Here is a 17,788-nt window from a genome sequence, read left to right as displayed (position 1 = left end):
TTAACATTCTGGCTCCATTGTTTAAGAGTTGTGCAATCTTAGCCATGTTTCTTAACTTCTCTGAGCCTTAGTTTAAATGGGCACAATAGAACCTCACAGAGTTGTTACTAAGATTGAAAGAGATAAATACATAAAGATTTTAGTATTGGGCCCTGCACAAGGCATGCTCTCACTAAATGGGCATTATTATTATCATACTGTTATTACCATGATAAGACAATGTCAGTAACAGAATCCCTGGGAATGCTGGAGTGAATTCAATGCCAGGGGACTGAAAGCACAGGACTGCTAAAGACGCCTTCCTTGCATTTCCTGGGGCAATGGGGCAGAGGGTCATGTGAGGCCTCATGGGTCACTGTTTCACCATTGCTGTTCCCCTCAGGTGATCTCTTCAGCGTCCTGGACTTCCCATTCCTGTACTTCTACAGATTCCATGGTAGCTGCTGTGCCAGGTAATCGTAAGCTCACTCATTTGTATGCTTTCTGTGCTGTCCGCTGTGTCTTCCTCTCTGTGAAGTTCAGGGTCACTGCTAGTGACCTGAGTGAGTGGCAGGAGAGAGTGGTGGTGGATGCAGGCAAGGAAGCAGTCATTATGTCACCAGCAGGCTGTCACTTAGCACCCTTAGATGCTCAGGGCCAGCTTGGGCCCTGCCAGGACCCCTGGCCCATGGAAGTCCCTCCGCCAAGACAGTGATTTTCGCGCTTGCTCTAGAGCTAGGATTCTCCCACTTTTTTCCTCCTCCACAAGCAAATCTCACATAGAACTCCAATATATAAAACTGATGAAATGGATCCAGTTCAAGGGAAGATTTGGGTTCAGAATCCCACCCGCTCAGCTTTCCCCTTGGCCTCCTTCTTGCTCCTTAAGGCAACCTCCAAAATAACCTCCACCAAACCTGAGGACTCTGGGAAATAGATTTTGGAAACTGATGGCTAGGAGATGTCTAGACAACCAGGTGATCATTAGTGCTTGGTCTTGGGAAGGACTCAGGGATATAGGCCAGTTGGAGGGCTACATCTGAACACACAGAAGTGTATCCTCACCCTCTCCCCATGTCCTGCCACGATCACCACTCTGCTTGACCTCATCATGCCAAGAAGTGGAAAGACTTATGTAGATAGGTCCAAAGCATGTGTGGTATCCCGATATGATAGAAAGACTGACCCAGGTTGAACCCCAGAATTGCTGTTGCTAATTGTATGATCTTTGGGTCTTAAGCTTTGTGCCTGGCCCAATAAATGGTGGTCATTATGATGATCTACTCAGGTTGACTATAAATACAATGTCAATAGATCGTGAAGAATTGCTATGTAAAAATCAGGCCACCTGTTCTCACAGATATCAAACAGTGCCTTGTGAAGCAGTGATTCTTTACAATGTTAAAAAGCTGCTATGTGGCTAGTGGGTATGTCCTGCTCCTCTGGTGTGTTTGGGCCAAAAAAAAAAAAAAAAGAATTACAGAGTTTGTTTCTGCATTTGAGCCTTGGAATGATTTATTTCTCACCCTCAGAAAAGTTTCAGGAAAACACTGACACAATTCACTTTCGTAGTTCCTGTCAATTGGTTAGGCCTTGCCCGTTAGCTGGGATCACATGGCATGAGTCTTCGTGCTGGGCGGGCGGCTGCGGACTTGTTTCCCTTTGAGTCTGGTTATTTGGCAGCATGGGCAAGCAGGGTGTAGAGGGGAGGTCAACCATTGTTTGGTTATTTGGAACAGAGCAGCACAGTTCACAGCCCATTGATGTTGGCTTTGTGGGGTGACAATTGGGCTCTATTTTTGCCCCTTTTAATCTGCAACTTTCTCATAATGCAACATGATAAATCAGGGTTTTGTTTTATTCTAAAGATCTGGAAATCTCTGTTTGAATTGATGTGACTCTGTTACATTTTACCCATGCTTCTGTACAGAGCTCAGCCTCTTTGAGGAATGCATTGGTTTTCCCTGTTTCATTTCAGAGGCTCCACCATATCTCAGACTGAGCATTGTCACCTTCAGGAGGTTCTGGGGGGGCTCAGGAGGGGCACGGTAGCCATAGCCCAAAGACCCCATTAACAGGGAGTCTCCTATTCCCAGATTCCTTTATTTCTGGGAGCCTCCCTCTGCTTTTCAGATCTGCCTCCCTAGCAAGGGGTAGATGGGCTGAAAGTGCAAGGAGAAAGATAAGAGATCCATGAGTAATGTAAAAATGAGTCACAGACATAGAAGTTAAGCGATGCAAAAGGGCCCCAGATGCTTCCAGAAGCCTGTCAGTCACAAACCTGCACGAGCTTATCCTGGCCCAGAGTCTGCACTGAGAGGACAGGTCAACATGGAATCATGCCACCCCTGTGGCTAGAGGCATAGAGGAGAGGGAAAGACTCGAGGGAAAGGAAGTCTGGGAGGTTGGGCAGGCACCTGTGAAGTTGTTACTTCCTTGGGTGCAGAGGTGGGAGCCACCAAGAGGAGCCTGGAGCACTGCTGCCTCCCTTTTCAGCCCCACCCTCATGACCACCAGTGCCTGGCACATCTTTTTTTTTTTTTTTTTGAGACGGAATCTCGCTCTGTCGCCCAGGTTAGAGTGCAGTGGTGCGATCTCGGCTCACTGCAAGCTCTGCCTGCCGGGTTCACCCATTCTCCTGCCTCAGCCTCCCGAGTAGCTGGGACTACAGGTGCCCGCCACCACATCAGGCTAATTTTCTTTTTTTTTTTTTTTTTTTTTGTATTTTTAGTAGAGACGGGGTTTCACCGTGTTAGCCAGGATGGTCTTGATCTCCTGACCTCGTGATCCGCCCGCCTCGGCCTCCCAAAATGCTGAGATTACAGGCTTGAGCCACCGCACCTGGCCATATCTCACTCTTTGTCTAGCTGGTCAAGAACACATTTCCATGAAGCTTCACGTCTTCCTCAGTTGTCCTGCCTCCAAATGCCAGGAAGAGTTTGGAGCTCCCTTTGCTATGGCTCTGGCCACACAGTGGCACTTTTGAAAATAGTTCCAGCGCAGGCAACTACATCTGTCCACTGCTGTGCCAGCGCCCTTGCTGGTCCAGAGATCTGAAGAGCCATGGAGACCTGGATTCTAATTGTACCTGTGCCCCAGTTTCATTGTTAATAAAGTGAGACTTTGGGGATAGGTAATCTTACTGTTCTAAAAGCCTCTGGTTTCCATTAAGATAGGATGAGGACTGCTATGATTATTTCTACTTTAAGGCAACTGAACCTGAGACAAAAAGGTGGGAAGGGGGATTTGGTTAAGGTTACGAGGGTCAGTAAGCACAGTGAGGAATAGAAATCCAGGCGCTGGGTGTGATTGGGTAGGCCTGCTGCTTACCCACGGGCCCTCTTTGCCTTTTGGGTGTGAGTAACTTGACATCTTAATCCATAGCTGTTCAGCCTCCCATGACTGCTGATGCAAATTGGAACAAACTTTGCAGGTCATTAGGGCCAAACAGGCTGAAATACACATGGGGAAACCTAATGCCTGTCTTTAGTCCTGCCCCAAGAATGTGGCTGTGAACTAGTCTAATCTAATGAAGTGAAGGTACACATTTCTGTGACATTTGGCCTTAGGTGTGTTCAATTAATTCAGTCTGCTTCCAATTCAACCTGACAAGCATTTAGTTAATGTGTACCGTAACTGAGGCACCATATTAGGCTCCGTTGAAAATACGAAGAGCAGCCCAAGATTGGGCTTTTCCTGCTCAGAGTTTATGATCAGTATTGGAGCTGCGCACCAGTGCCTGTATAAGGTCAGATGGAAGTGTGGCAGTCAAGGGTCTGGAGATGCAAATGAAGTACAACTCACAGGGCTTGCCTCTCTAGCTTGGAGTTACAACTGCAGTCATATCTCTTACTTTGCAATTTTCAAGTTCAAATAACAGTCACACTCAAACCACCACTTGCACATATTTGCATGAAGTCAGCCTTTCTCTCTCTCTCTCACATACACACACACACACACACACACACACACACACACACACACACACACTGTCTGTCTCACCTCTTCCCCAGTTGTCCTGCCTTCAAATGTCAGGAAGCATTTGGAGCTCCCTTTGCTTTGGCCTTGGCCACACAGGGCACTTTTGGAAATAGTTGCAGCACAGGCAACTACATCTCCATCCACTGCTGTGCCCTCGCCCTTGTTGGTCCACACTCCTGAATAGCCCCAAGATGCTGCCCCTTCCTCAGGTTCTCGAGTGGGGATCTTTCCATTCACACACATGTGTAGGCACCATTTCCAAAGCATACCTCCTATGGCAGGACAGCCTGGTTTGGGGGACTTCTGGCCTCAGCCATATGTGTCACTGAAGCCAGCCTTCCCCTTCAGATTCTTTTGAGCCTGGAGGCCAGTCCAGACTCTCTCTTCTCACATGGTGAGTTTCCCTTTGGAAGTCTTTTCCTGCCAGTTTATCTTGCTTGAAAAAAATTTAAGCTCTGCCTTGCCAAGCACCAAAACTCCAGAAGTTCTATGGGAAGGAACAAGAGGTGTTGTCCTCCACCTTTTTTTTCTTTCATGATTTAGCCAGAGGCCTCTGAAATTTCTTTGCACCATTCCTCTAATCAAAATTCTCCCACCATAGCTCCTTAGAAAAGCAGAGCTTAATGACTTTAAAATTTTTTTTATTTTCATCCAGAGATCACAGATCTAGAAAACACAGATGAGGTAGAGGTTGCATAATAATTTGAAATTGATTGGTAAAATGTAGCAGACACTAGTCAGCCATTGGCTAAGGGAAGACAAGCCTCACTAACAAGAGAATCTTTTCTCCTTCCAGTGGATTTTTGGGATTCTTTCTCATGTTCAGTACAGTGAAGCTAAAAAACCTTCTGGCCCCAGGGCAGTGTGCAGCCTGGATTTTCTTTGCTAAGGTAAGAGACAAGAGGGGTGGGAAATTCTCTCTCAAGAGCCTGTGTATCCAAAGATCTCAGAACCTGGGTAATGTGAAGTTGTTTGAGCTTCATGAGACCACTTCTAGGCGCTGTCCCTGAGCCTGATCCTTCCTTCATTCAGGTAACGATTTCTGAGGCCTGCTCATTTTATCAACATGGCATATTTCATCTTTCTTACAGTCCTGGAAGACAATCATGGATAGGCTCCTTATTTCCTTCCTGGAGGCTGTGCAGGTGTCCAGAGCTCAAGTGACTTACACAAGGGGACTCAGTCGATCCAAGGTGATAGAGAAAGGAAGATAGACAAATGGCCAGGTTGGGGCATTTCTATGAAACCTTAGAAAAGGGATTATTCTAAGAACAACCTCTGTGTATCCGAATGACTATGGGGGAAGCATAAGATAAAGTGGTGGGGGAACCACAAAGAAACAGAAGGAGCGGGGAAGTGGCTGTGGGATGGCCAATCTTAACTGAAACATGGTGGGGCCAACTTCTGTTGGCACGTTTCATTTCCTTAGTGCCTGTGAGGGAGGCAAGTTGTAGAGCTCTAGATGCTGCTTTCAAGGAGTAAGCCTCCTTAATTAATTAAATTTAATTTAATGAAATCATTATTTAACTTGGGCTTTTAGTCATCTTTGTGTTTTATGGGTTGAAGTTTCTCCAGAAAAAAAACCTCAAACATTTTGCTTTGAAAATAAGATTTTTAATGATATTTTCACCCCCATGCATTTTTTTGTTTTTGTTTTTGTTTTTGTTTTGTTTTGTTTTGAGACAGGGTCTTACTCTGTTGCCCAGACTGGAGTGCAGTGGCATGATCTCAACTCATTGCAACCTCTGCCTCCCAGGCTCAAGCGACCCTCCTGACTCAGCCTCCCAAGTAGCTGGGATTACAGGTGTGCGCCACCACACCCAGCTAATTTTTGTATTTTTAGTAAAGATGGAGTTTGACCATGTTGGCCAGGCTGTTCTCAAACTCCTGACCTCAAATGATCCACCCACCTCAGCCTCCCAAAGTGCTAGGATTACAGGTGTGAGCCACTGTGCTCGGTCCACATGGCCTATTTTTTAATAGCATTAATAATTCCAATTCTAGCAGAATGTAAAAAGTAGCTGAGATATTGATTTCTGGCATGACAGAGTGAGGAGGTTGATGAAACCTCTTCCCAAAAAACAGCTAGAAAGCTGGAAGAAAACTGTCAAAAACATCCATTTCAGCTCCCTAAAAATTGACCAAATATATGCAATAAATTGAGACGCATTTGTTCATGAAAACTATTAACCTTTGGGTAGGAACAGAACGAATCTGTGGTGTTCTTGCCTATCATCACTCCCATTCCCTCCTCCCCAGTGTGATAGTTCAACCAGAGCAGGCGAGGCTGTGAAAACCAGCAGGCTTACCACCACTTCCAAGAGGGGTTCACTCTGTTTGGAGGATTGTCTGTTAAATAGGCCAACTCGGTGGTGCATGAACACGAAAGGCCAGTAGCTTTACTAGCTTGAGTTGATAGTCCTCTTTGGAACAAGCAGTGGACCAGTGGTCTAGTGGGGGACTTAATAGGTAGTTCTGAGAGATGAGACAGCAATCAGGGGCTTGATTTTTTTTAATATGTCCCAGATTGAACTTAGTCTGTGTATATGAGCAGTAGTGATGGAACAGGCTCACGTATTCCTGGCCAGCAGAGCCTGCATACACACACAGAGGAGCTGTGAAAGAGCTAGCAGAAAGTAAAAGCCAGGGCAGATGTGAAAACAGCCTGGGGTTTGAATGTGCTCTCCCAGCCCGCACACAGAGTCAGGAGCAGGGAGAAGCCTTTCTGGCCCAAGGTGTTGGAGCAAAATTTCTGACTAGTCTTTGCCAGAACACTAAGCTATGCAGACATGAGGATGACCCTTAGACACCAGATTTAAAAATAAAAACAAGAAAAAAATTTGAGTAAAGACATCAGCAGCTGTAGCTTATATGGGAGACAGATTTCACATTCACAATTTAGTTCAGGAAAATCACTAAATAAGCAAAACAACAATAACAACAAATCTTGTGGGGAAAGTCAGATTTCAGAGTTGCTACCGTATGTTATGTAAAAGGTTCAGTATTCAACAAAAACATGAGAGACATTCAGAGAAGCAAAATGTGATCTGTGTGTAGTAAAAAAGTGGTCAGTAGGAACTATCTCTGGGTGTCTGTCCTCAGAAGTAGGATTTAGCCTAAAGAGTCTACAGAGCAGCTATTTAAATTTATTCAGAAATCAAAAGGAAACCATGTTTAAAGAATTGAAGCAAAGACTCGGTGAATACAGAATCTCAGTAAAGAGATATAAATTATTTACAGAAAGGAAAAGAAAGAACCAAATGGAAATTCTAGAGGTAAAAAGTACAATAACTGAACTGAAAGTGCTCTAGAGGGACTCAACAGATTTGACGTGGCAGAAGAAAGAATAAGTGAACTTATAAGTTCTTTTATAAGTACCACTTATAAGAAGGTAAAGCAAATGAAATAATTCAATCTAAAAAAATAGGCTTTTGTTTTGTTTTGTTTTGTTTTTTGAGACGTAGTCTCGCTCTGTCGCCCAGGCTGGAGTGCAGTGGTGTCATCTCAGCTCATTGCAACCTCCACTGCCTGGGTTCAAGTGATTCTCCTGCCTTAGCCTCCCGAGTAGCTGGGACTACAGGTGCGTGCCACCACGCCTGGCTGATATTTTGTATTTTTAGCAGAGACGGGGTTTCACCATGTTAGCCAGGATGTTCTCGATATCTGACCTCGTGATCCACCTGCCTTGGCCTCCCAAAGTGCTGGGGTTACAGGCGTGAGCCCCCGTGCCTGGCCAAAAAACAGGTTTTTTTTAAATTGAAGAAATGTGAACAGAGCCTCAGAGACCTGTGAGACATCAAATATAGCAACAAACATATGTGTAATAAGAATCCCAGAAGAGAAGAGAGGGTTAGAACAATATTTGAAGAAATCAATTTGTTGAAAAATATTAATTTACAGATTCAGTAAGTTCAGTGAGTCCCAAGTAAGATAAACAAAAAGAGATCTAGACACATTATAATCAAACTGTTGAAAGACAAGGAGAAAATCTTAAAAGTGGCAAGAGGGAAATTATTCAACATATATGGGGGAACAACAGTGCAATTAGTGGCTAACTTCTCATCACAAACAGTGGAGGCCAGAAGGCAAGTGGGGTGACACATTCAACATGCTGAAAGAAAAACCTGTCAACCAAGGATTTGATATATGCAAAACTATTCTTCAAATATGAAAGAGAAATAAAAACATTCCTAGATGAATAAAAACTAAGAGATTTGTTGCTAGCAGCCATATCCGTAATTACATTAAATATGAATAGACTAAATACCTGACAAAAAATAGAGACTGTCATATTGGATTTTTTAAAAACAAAACCCAGCTATATGAGCTATATGCTGTCTATAACAGTTATACCTTAAAGTAAAAGACACAAGTAGGCTGGAAGTAAAAGGATGGAAGAACCACACAGACAGTTACCATAAGAAAGCTGGGTATAGTGGCTATATTAAAATCAGACAAAATAGACTTTATAACAGGAAATATTACTAGAGAAAAAATAGGGACATTTAATAATGATAAAAGTGTTAATGCATTAGGAAGATATAACAGTTCTAAATATATATACACCTAAAACAGCACCCAAGGTATGTGAAACAACAAGTAATAGAAAAGATAAATAGATTATTTAACAATACTAATTGGAGATTTCAATACTGCACTCTCAGCAGTTGACAGAACAACTCAGTAGAAAAGCGTGAATATAGAAGTACATAGAAGACTTGAACAACACTATCAACCAATTGACATAACTGACATTTATGTGACACCCCACCAATTGATTTCAGAATACACATTCTTCTCAAGCGCACATGGAATATTCTCCACAATACATAGTATGCTGGTTGACAAAACAACTCCCAAGTTTTAAAAGACTGAAATCATATGAAGTATGTTCTCTGACCATAGCAGAATTAAATTTGAAATTCACAATAGAAAAAAATCTAGAAAAACCCCATTTAGTTGGAAATTAAATATACTTCTAAATAGTTTGTAGGTCAAGGAAGAAATTACAATGGATATTAAAATTTTTCAATCAAATGAAAACAGAAATACAACATATCAAAATTTATAGATGCAGCTAAAGTAGTGCTTGAAGGGAAATTTATATCTGTAAACACCCATATCAGAAATGAATGAAGGTCTCAAATCAATAACTTATGCTTCCATCTTAAGAAACTAGAAAAGAAGAAAGGGCAAACTAAATTCAGAGTAAGCAGAAGGAAGGATATAATAAAGTTTAATGTGGAAATTAATGAAATAGGAAACAGAAAAATAATGTAGAATATTAATGTTGATTCTTTGAAAACATCAGCAACATTGACAAACCTCTGGCTAGACTGACCAAGAAAATAAGAGAAAAGAGGCCAGGCATGGTGGCTCATGCCTATAATCCAAGCACTTTGGGAGGCCAAGGCAGGAAGATCACTTCAGCCCAAGAATTCAGGACCAGCCTGGGTAACGTAGTGATACACCATCTCTACAAGAAAAAAATTTTAAATGATTAGCTGAACATGGTGTCACATACCTGTAATCCTAGCTACTTGGGAAGCTGAAATGGGAGGATCACTTGGGAGGTCAAGGATGCAGTGAGCCGTGATCACGCCACTGCACTCCAGCCTGGGTGACAGAGTGAGACCCTGTCTCAGAGAGAGAGAGAGATAGGAGAGAAGAGAGAGAGAGAGAGAGATGCAAATTATCAAATTTGGAAATGAAAAAGATGTTACTACTGATCCTATAGAAGCTAAAAGGATTGTATATTGTAGATAACTTCAGATTTTGAATAACTTTATGACAGAAAATTAGTCAATTTGGATGAAATGGGCAAATTCCCAGAAAGGAACAAATAAGGAAAACTGACTCAAGAAGAAATGAAAAATCTGAATACATCCATAACAAGTAAATAAAAATAAGTAATTTAAAATCTTTCTTAGGTTTTTAGGAAAAGAAAAGCTCAGCCCCAGTTGGCTTTATTGATGAATTCTATCAAATATTTAAAGAAGAAGTGTTTTAAAACAAATTCTTTTAGAAACTAAAGGAAGAGGGAATAACTCCCAAGTTATTCTATGAGGTGGGTTACCCAGCTGTAAAGCCAGATAAAACAAATAATAAGAAAATTACCAATATTCCTCATGAACACAGGGACAAATATATTAGCAAAATCTTAGCAAACCAAATTTGGCAACATATAAAAAGAATTATACACCATAATCAAGTGAGATTTATCTCAGGAATGCATAGTTGGTTTAACATACAAAAATTAACTAATGTAATACCTTGTTTTCACAGACTAAAGAACAAAAATACATGATCATTTCAATAGGTTCAGAAAAATCATGACAAAATCTAGCATCTATTCATTATAAAAACTCTCAAAAAACTAGTAATATAAGAGAACCTGATAAAATCTGTGAAAATCCTGTAACTAACATTATCTTTAACAGGGGAAGACTGAATACTTTCCCCCTAAGATCAGGAGCAACATAAGAATGTCCACTTTCACCATTTCTATTGAACATTGGAATGGAGTTTTTAGGAATGCAATAGGCAGTGCAATAGGAAAAAAAAAAAAGCATCCAGATTGGAAAGGAAGAAATAAAATTGTCTTTATTCACAAATGAGACCATCATATATATAGAAAATCCCAAGGAAACTATAAAAATAGTTGAAGGCAGGGTGTGGTGGCTCATGCCTATAATCCTCGCACTTTCGGAGACTGAAGTGGGAAGATCACTTGAGACCAGCCTGGGCAACATAGTGAGATCCTGTCTCTACAAAAAATAAGAAAAGTAGTCTGGCATGGTGGCATGTGCCTATGGTCCCAGCTACTCAAGAGGCTGAGGCAGGAGGATCGCCAGAGCTCAGGAGTTTGAGGATGCAGTGAGCTATTGTCACCACTGCACTCCAGCCTGAGTGACAGAGCAAGACTTTGTCTCTTAAATAAATAAATAAAACTAGTTTTACTTTAAAAATATTTTTTTTTTTGTAGAGATGGGGTCTTATGTTGCCCAAGCTAGTTTCAAACTCCTGGCCTCAAGCAATCCTCCCATCTCAGCCTCCCAAGGTGCTGGGATTATGGGTATGAGCCAGTGCACCCAGCTCAAAGTTTTATATATTAGTAATGAAAAGTCATGTTTATTAAAATAAAATTAAGAAAACAATTCCATTCACAATAGCATCAAAAAGGAAAAAATACTTTGGAACTTAACAAAGAAGTATCACATTTATACATTGAAAACTATAAAACCTTTTTGAGAGGAATTAAATAAAATCTTAAAAAATCAAGAAATACAATATTGTTAAGATGGAAATTTTTGCTAAATTGATTCAATGTAATCCCTGTCAAAATCCCAGCAGGCTTTTTTTTTTGGTAGAAATTCACAAATTTGTCTAAAATTTATTTGGAAATGCAATAGCCAAAACAATGTTGACAAAGATAAAGTTGGGGGACTTAAATTATGTGATTTGAAAATTTAGTACTAAGCTAGAATAATCAAGACATTATGGTATTGGTGTAGGGATAGGCATTTATGGTCAATTAATTTTCAACAGAGGTGCCAATCACAATGAGGAAAGAATTTTTTTTTTTTTTTTTTTTTTTTTTTTTTGAGATGGAGTCTCCCTCTGTCGCCCAGGCTGGAGTACAGTGGTGCGATCTTGGCTCACTGCAACCTCCACCTCCCGAGTTCAAGCCATTCTTCTGCCTCAGCCTCCTGAGCAGCTGGGATTACAGGTGCCCACCACCATGCCCGGCTAATTTTTGTATTTTTAGTAGAGACAGGGTTTAACCATGTTGGTCAGACTGGTCTTGAACTCCTGACCTAGCGATCCGCCCACCTCGGCCTCCCAAAGTGCTGAGATTACAGGCGTGAGCCACTGCGCCTGGCCAGGATTGTTTTTTCAACAAACGGTGTTGGAGCAATCAGATATCCATATACAAACCAACCTACAAATAAACAATCTTAGATCCTTGCTCGCCATCATTAACTCAGAATGGATCACAGACCTGAATGTAATGCTAAAACTGGAAAACTATTAGAAGAAAACATAACAAAAAGCCTTAATGGCCTTGGGTTTGGCAGATTCTTAGATATGACACCAAAAGCATAAGTCATAAAATAATTGATAAAATGTAGTTTACTTAAAACCTTTTACAATTCAAAAAACACCATTAAGAAAATGAAAAGGTAGGCTAGGTGCTGTGGCTCACGCCTATAATCCCAGCACTTTGAGAGGCCAAGGCGGGCGGATCATGAGGTGAGGAGATGAAGACCATCCTGGCTAACATGGTGAAACCTGGTCTCTATTAAAAATACAAAAATTAGCCAGGCGTGGTGGCGGGCACCTGTAGTCCCAGCTATTCGGGAGCCTGAGGCAGGAAAATGGCATGAACCCAGGAGGCAGAGCTTGCAGTGAGCCGAGATCGCGCCACTGCACTCCAGCCTGGGCGACAGAGCGAGACTCTGTCTCAAAACAAAAAAAAAAAAAAGAAGAAAAAAAAAGAAAAAGAAAATTAAAAGGTAAGCCACAGCCTAGGAGAAAATATCTGCAAATCATAATGTCTGATAAAGGAACTATATCCAGAATATATAAAGAATTCTTACACCTCAATGAGATGACCTACAACCCAATTTAAAAATGGTCTAAAGGAAAGCAGTTTGTTGATTGCTGAAAGAACTTAAAACAGAATTACCATTCAAACCAGCAATCCCATTATTGGGCATATAGCCAAAGGAATGTAAATTGTACTACCATAAAGACACATGCACATGTGTGTTCATCACAACACTAGTCACAATAGCAAAGACATGGAATCAACCTAAATGCCCATCAATGGTAGACTGGATAAAGAAAATGTAGCACATATGCACCATGGGATACTATGCAGCCATAAAAAAGAATGAGATTGGCCGAGCATGGTGGCTCACACCTGTAATCCCAACACCTTGGGAGGCAGAGGCAGGTGGATCACCTGAGGTCAGGAGTTTGAGACCAGCCTGACCAACATGGTGAAAATACAAAAATTAGCTGGGCGTCGTGGCACGCACCTGTAATCCCAGCTACTCTGGAGGCTGAGGCAGGAGAATCACTTGAACCTGGGAGGTGGAGGTTTCAGTGAGCTGAGATAGCGCCATTGCACTCCAGTCTGGGCAACAAGAGCGAAACTCCATCTCAAAAAAAAAAAAAAAGAATGAGATCATGTCCTTTGCAGCAACATGGATGGAGCTGGAGGCCATTATCCCAAGCGAAACAACATAGGAATAGAACACCAAATATCGCATGTTCTCACTTATAAGTGGGAATTAAACATTGAGAACACAAGGATGCAAAGAAAGTAACGGCTGACACCGGGGCCTACTTGAGGGTGAGGGATGGGAGGACAGAGAGGATTGGAAAACTACTCGTTGGGTACTATTCTTATTACCTGGGTAATGAAATAATCTGTACATCAAACCCCTGTGACATGCAATTTACCTATATAACAAACCTGGGGATGTACCCCTGAACCTAAAAGTTAACAAAAAATACAAGTTAAAAATAAATAAATAGGCCAGGCTTGGTGGCTCAGACCTGTAATCCTAGCACTTTGAGAGGCGGAGGTGAGCGGATCACCTGAGGTCGGGAGTTTGAGACCAGCCTGACCAACATGGAGAAACCCTGTCTCTACTAAAAATACAAAATTAGCCAGATGTGGTGGCGCATGCCTGTAATTCCAGCTACTCAGGAGGATGAGTCAGGAGAATCGCTTGAACCCAGGAGCCAAGATCACGCCATTGCACTCTAGCCTGGGCGACAAGAGTGAAACTCTGTCTCAAAAAAAATAAAAATAAAAATAAAAAATATAAATAAATAAAATGATAATGTTGAGGCCAGACATAGTGGCTTATGCCTGTAACCCAGCACTCTGGGAAGCCGAGGCAGGTGGATCACCTGAGATCAGGAGTTCGACACCAGCCTGGTCAACATAGTGAAACCCTGTCTCTACTGAACATACAAAAATTATCTGGGTGTGGTGGCGCACGCCTGTAGTTCCAGCTACTTGGGAGGCCAAGGCAGGAAAATCACTTGAACCCAGGAGGTGGAGGTTGCATTGAGCCAAGATTGTGCCACTGCACTCCAGCCTGGGTGACAGATCAAGACTCCATTTCAAAAAAAAAAAAGATAATGTTGATACTTATAAAAAATAAAACTGATCTAAACACATGAACAGATATTTCATAAAAGAAGATATCTAAATGGTTAATAAGTACATAGGAAGGTGTTTGGCATCACTAGTCATTAGAGAAATGCAAATTGAAACCATGATGAGATATCACCACGCACCCACTACTATAATTTTTTAAAAAGGTACAGACAGTGCCAAATGTTGGCAAGGATGTGGAGAAACCAGAACATTCATAAATTGCTGGTAGGCATATATACAGTCACTTTCAAAAACAGTTTGGTAGTTTTAGAAGATTAAACATAAAGTGACTACAACCTAGCAATTCTATTCTTAAGAATCTACCCAAGAGAAATGAAAGTATATGGCCACAAAAAAACCCATACATGAGTGTTCATATTAGCATTATTCATAAGAAACCCAAACTGGAAATAATTCTAAATGTCCATCAACTAGTGAATATATAAATAAGATATAGTATATATATATACAATTTGGAATACTATTCAATAATCAGAAGGAATGGGCTATTAATACATTGCTACAGCATGGATGAACCTCAAAAATATTATGCTAAGCTAAAGAATCCAGTCACAAAAGAATACATATAGTATTATTCAGTTTGTGTGAAATGCCCATAAAAAGGCAATTTTATAGAGACAGAAAGTATACCAGTGGTTTCTTAGAGAAAGAAATTGACTGTGAATAGACTCAAAGGAAGTTTTTTGGCTAATGGAAACTTTCAAACTGGATTGTGGTGATGGTTGCATCATCATTTAAGTTAATTTATTAAATTTGTCCATTAACAATCATTACACTTTATAATAAGTGAATTTTATGGCATGCAAATCATCCCTGAAAGCTGTAAAGTAATAGTGCTCAAAGCATAGTGCTTAAATCCTGTCCTTTAGGATTTAGGACATTTTTTTTTTTCCTGTGTATATGAGTTTACCTATTTGACAACTAGTTTCAAGTCTCTTTTTTATTTATTGTATTTTTCTTTTCTTCTTAAATTCTGAGGGAAGTTTATAATTTTTCTCTTCAATAGTTAATTCAGAAGAGGGAGGATTTTTAATTGGCTGCTGTGGTTTAATGCTAATTCTTCTTAAATGAAAATTGGATTCAATGAGCCATTAAGATCTATCTCTTCCAGCCTCGGGTACATCAAGCAATCTCCCCTCTCTCTCTCTTTTTCCTATTTGAAAATAAGCTTGTGATCCTCCGTGGTAGAATATGTATCCATTCTTTGAACCACCTACACATCAAAACGTGCTGACATTTGAAATACGACAAAATCGTACTTAGCAATACAGCATTCCCATGATGTCATTGTGCCTACACTGGGTGCCAGCATGTTCAGAAAGTGACTCAGAAGGATGTTTCAGTGGTGCCAGAGGAGAATCGGGCTTATGTGAAGACTAAAAAATACACAGGGAGGGAGGTCGTTAAGGGGGCCGAGGGGCCTTCTTCACTGCTCCAAAAGGACCCATTTGGGGGCTGTTTTCGAAGATGTCACATCAACTTCATCAGTTCCAAGTTCTGAGAGAAGGCATCCATGTCTGTCTCTGGTCCTCACCTTTTTCAGTATCTTCCTCAGATCTGAGAATACTTAGCGTGGAGAAAAAGTGCCTTTGAAGTCATTTTAGGTTGTTATCACTATTATTGTTGTTTTTCTCTCTGGGCATTTGAGAAAAAATTTAAGAAGCCAAAAGTATTGGAATATTTAGCAACTCTTTAAAAAATAATCTCTCATTTTGGTAAATTTGGGCATGTAAAATCTAACTGCATCTTCATAAAATCTCAGGATCCCCTCTCACATATGATGTAAAGCACTCAGGCAGAACAAAGTAAACAAATTGAAGAGAAATGCAGGGACGTGTGTAGACGTGAAAGGAAGATGTGGTGTGTGTGAGTTTATAGTTTTCTCCTAGTCAGTTTCTCCAGCAGATTTCAATCCTCACATGAGAATTCTTCCTGGATTGAGTAGTGCCTTGTCTTACTCTTGTTAACTTCAGACTGACTTGAGTTCTCAGCATCACTGGGAAGAAGCAGCGGAGGTCAGAGTGAGTTTATGTGGCGCAAGAGCAAGGGGCGGAGAAGCTTCCCGGGACAGCAGCGGCAATGCTTGTGGGGCCTGAGGAGCCAGTCTGTGCTCCTCCTTTCAAAGCTGCCTCTGTAAGATCACTTTCTTCCTTTAAAGCTGATGCCGTAATTGCTACCACCATCTCATGTCCCGAAGACAATGACAGGCAGAAAACCCAGCCTTTGTCTGTTTTTTTCTATGGCCCTGGGAAAATAACTTTTCATAGCTTGCTCAGAATAAGTCTCTTGATTTGGTTTCATTTATATTTTCCATTGTTAGAATTTCATCTTTCATATACACAGGACCAAGATGAAGGTGGCCCTCACTCTTGGGCTGTGCAGTGCTGGGTTGGTGCCTGAGTGTGAACAAGCACCTCCTCAAATGCCGCAGCCTAGGCACCTCACTTGCCTCCCCTATCCCTTCCCTAAAACTATGTCATAATGTACTGCTGGCCTGAAACAGCTGGCAACTCCAGGGGTTTTAAGATATACTTGATTTTGTTTTTTTTTTAGAGACAGGATCTCTCTATCACCCAGGCCAGGGTGCTGTGATGCCATCATGCAACTGTATCCTCAAACTCCTGGCCTCAAGCAATCTGCCTGCCTCGGCCTCCCCAGTGGCTGAGACTATAGGCACGCACCACCATGCCAGGCTAATTTTATTTTTTTGTAGAGATGAGATCTTGTTATGTTGCCCAAGCACTAGATTCTTACAGTTTGGGTGATACTAGAGATGTCCTGGGCAGTGATAGGAGAGAGGCATGCACGGAGGCTCTAGTCTTTTCCATGAGGTGCGTGGTAGAGAGACTGGGATTTCAGGGGGAAAAAGGAAAGGAAGAAGTACTCACTGTTTGACTTTGGTCACTATTCGCGGAACCCCTTTGCTCTAGTCTGAATGTCTATGTTCCCCTAACATCAATACCTTGAAATCCTAAGCCCCAAGGTGATGGTAGTAAGAGGCGGGGACTTTGGGAGATGAGTAGCTCATAAAGGCAGAGCCCTCATGAAGGGCATTAGTGTCCTTGTAAAAGAGGTCCCAGAGAGCTGCCTTGCTTCTTCCACCTTGAGGATGCCGTGAGAAAGTGCCATCTCTGAGACAGCAGCCTTCACCAGACACGGAATCTGCAGGGGCTGTGACCTTGGCCTTACCAGCCTCCAGAACTATGAGAGACAAATCTTTATTGCTTGTAAGCTACCCAGCCTATAGAATTTTGTTATAGCAGCCCAGATGGACTAAGACACCCTGTAATCCTCCATTGTTTCATCTGTAAAGCAAGGAGTCTGAACTAGAAAGATATCCAAAGATAGTGCACAAACGTTGTGATGATAACAAGCTCTGACAGTGCTGACTATTGTATCTGGTATTCAAGACTAAATGCTAATCACATTTACATTGAATTGTAGCATTATATAATGATCTGCTAGGAACTATATTATTAATTATCAGTGCCTACTTAATAAAGCATTTGCCAGATTTTAAAATTATGTAATAAGACTGATTAAAGTAGGAAATATGCAGCAATCTGACCTTTCACCCCTGTCTCCAAATTCCACCTTCTCTTGTGGATGATTGTGTTGTAAATGCTA

At 41.4% G+C, this 17,788-nt stretch overlaps 1 protein-coding gene across 23 annotated transcripts in view; it reads left to right on the top strand.

Moving 5' to 3' along the window:
- SLC35D4 (solute carrier family 35 member D4) overlaps positions 1–17,788 on the top strand; it is a 199,440-nt gene that overhangs the window by 80,916 nt on the left and 100,736 nt on the right. For 21 of the 23 annotated variants that reach the window (NR_148382.2, XR_001753290.3, NR_148384.2 and 18 more), the window contains 2 exons: positions 383–452; positions 4,757–4,850. Coding sequence is in view for 14 of the 23 variants with exons in the window: in XM_047437896.1 (XP_047293852.1) it covers positions 383–452; positions 4,757–4,850 (164 nt within the window). In the remaining 9 variants the exon portion in view is untranslated. Of the gene's footprint in view, positions 1–382; positions 453–4,756; positions 4,851–5,051; positions 5,154–17,788 lie in introns of all 23 variants that reach the window. The other 2 variants (XM_047437892.1, XM_011526233.3) reach the window with 1 other exon arrangement.

This window comes from Homo sapiens, chromosome 18 (assembly GCF_000001405.40).
Source record: "Homo sapiens chromosome 18, GRCh38.p14 Primary Assembly".
Lineage (NCBI taxonomy): Eukaryota > Metazoa > Chordata > Mammalia > Primates > Hominidae > Homo > Homo sapiens.
This window is presented reverse-complemented; position numbering and strand designations above follow the sequence as displayed.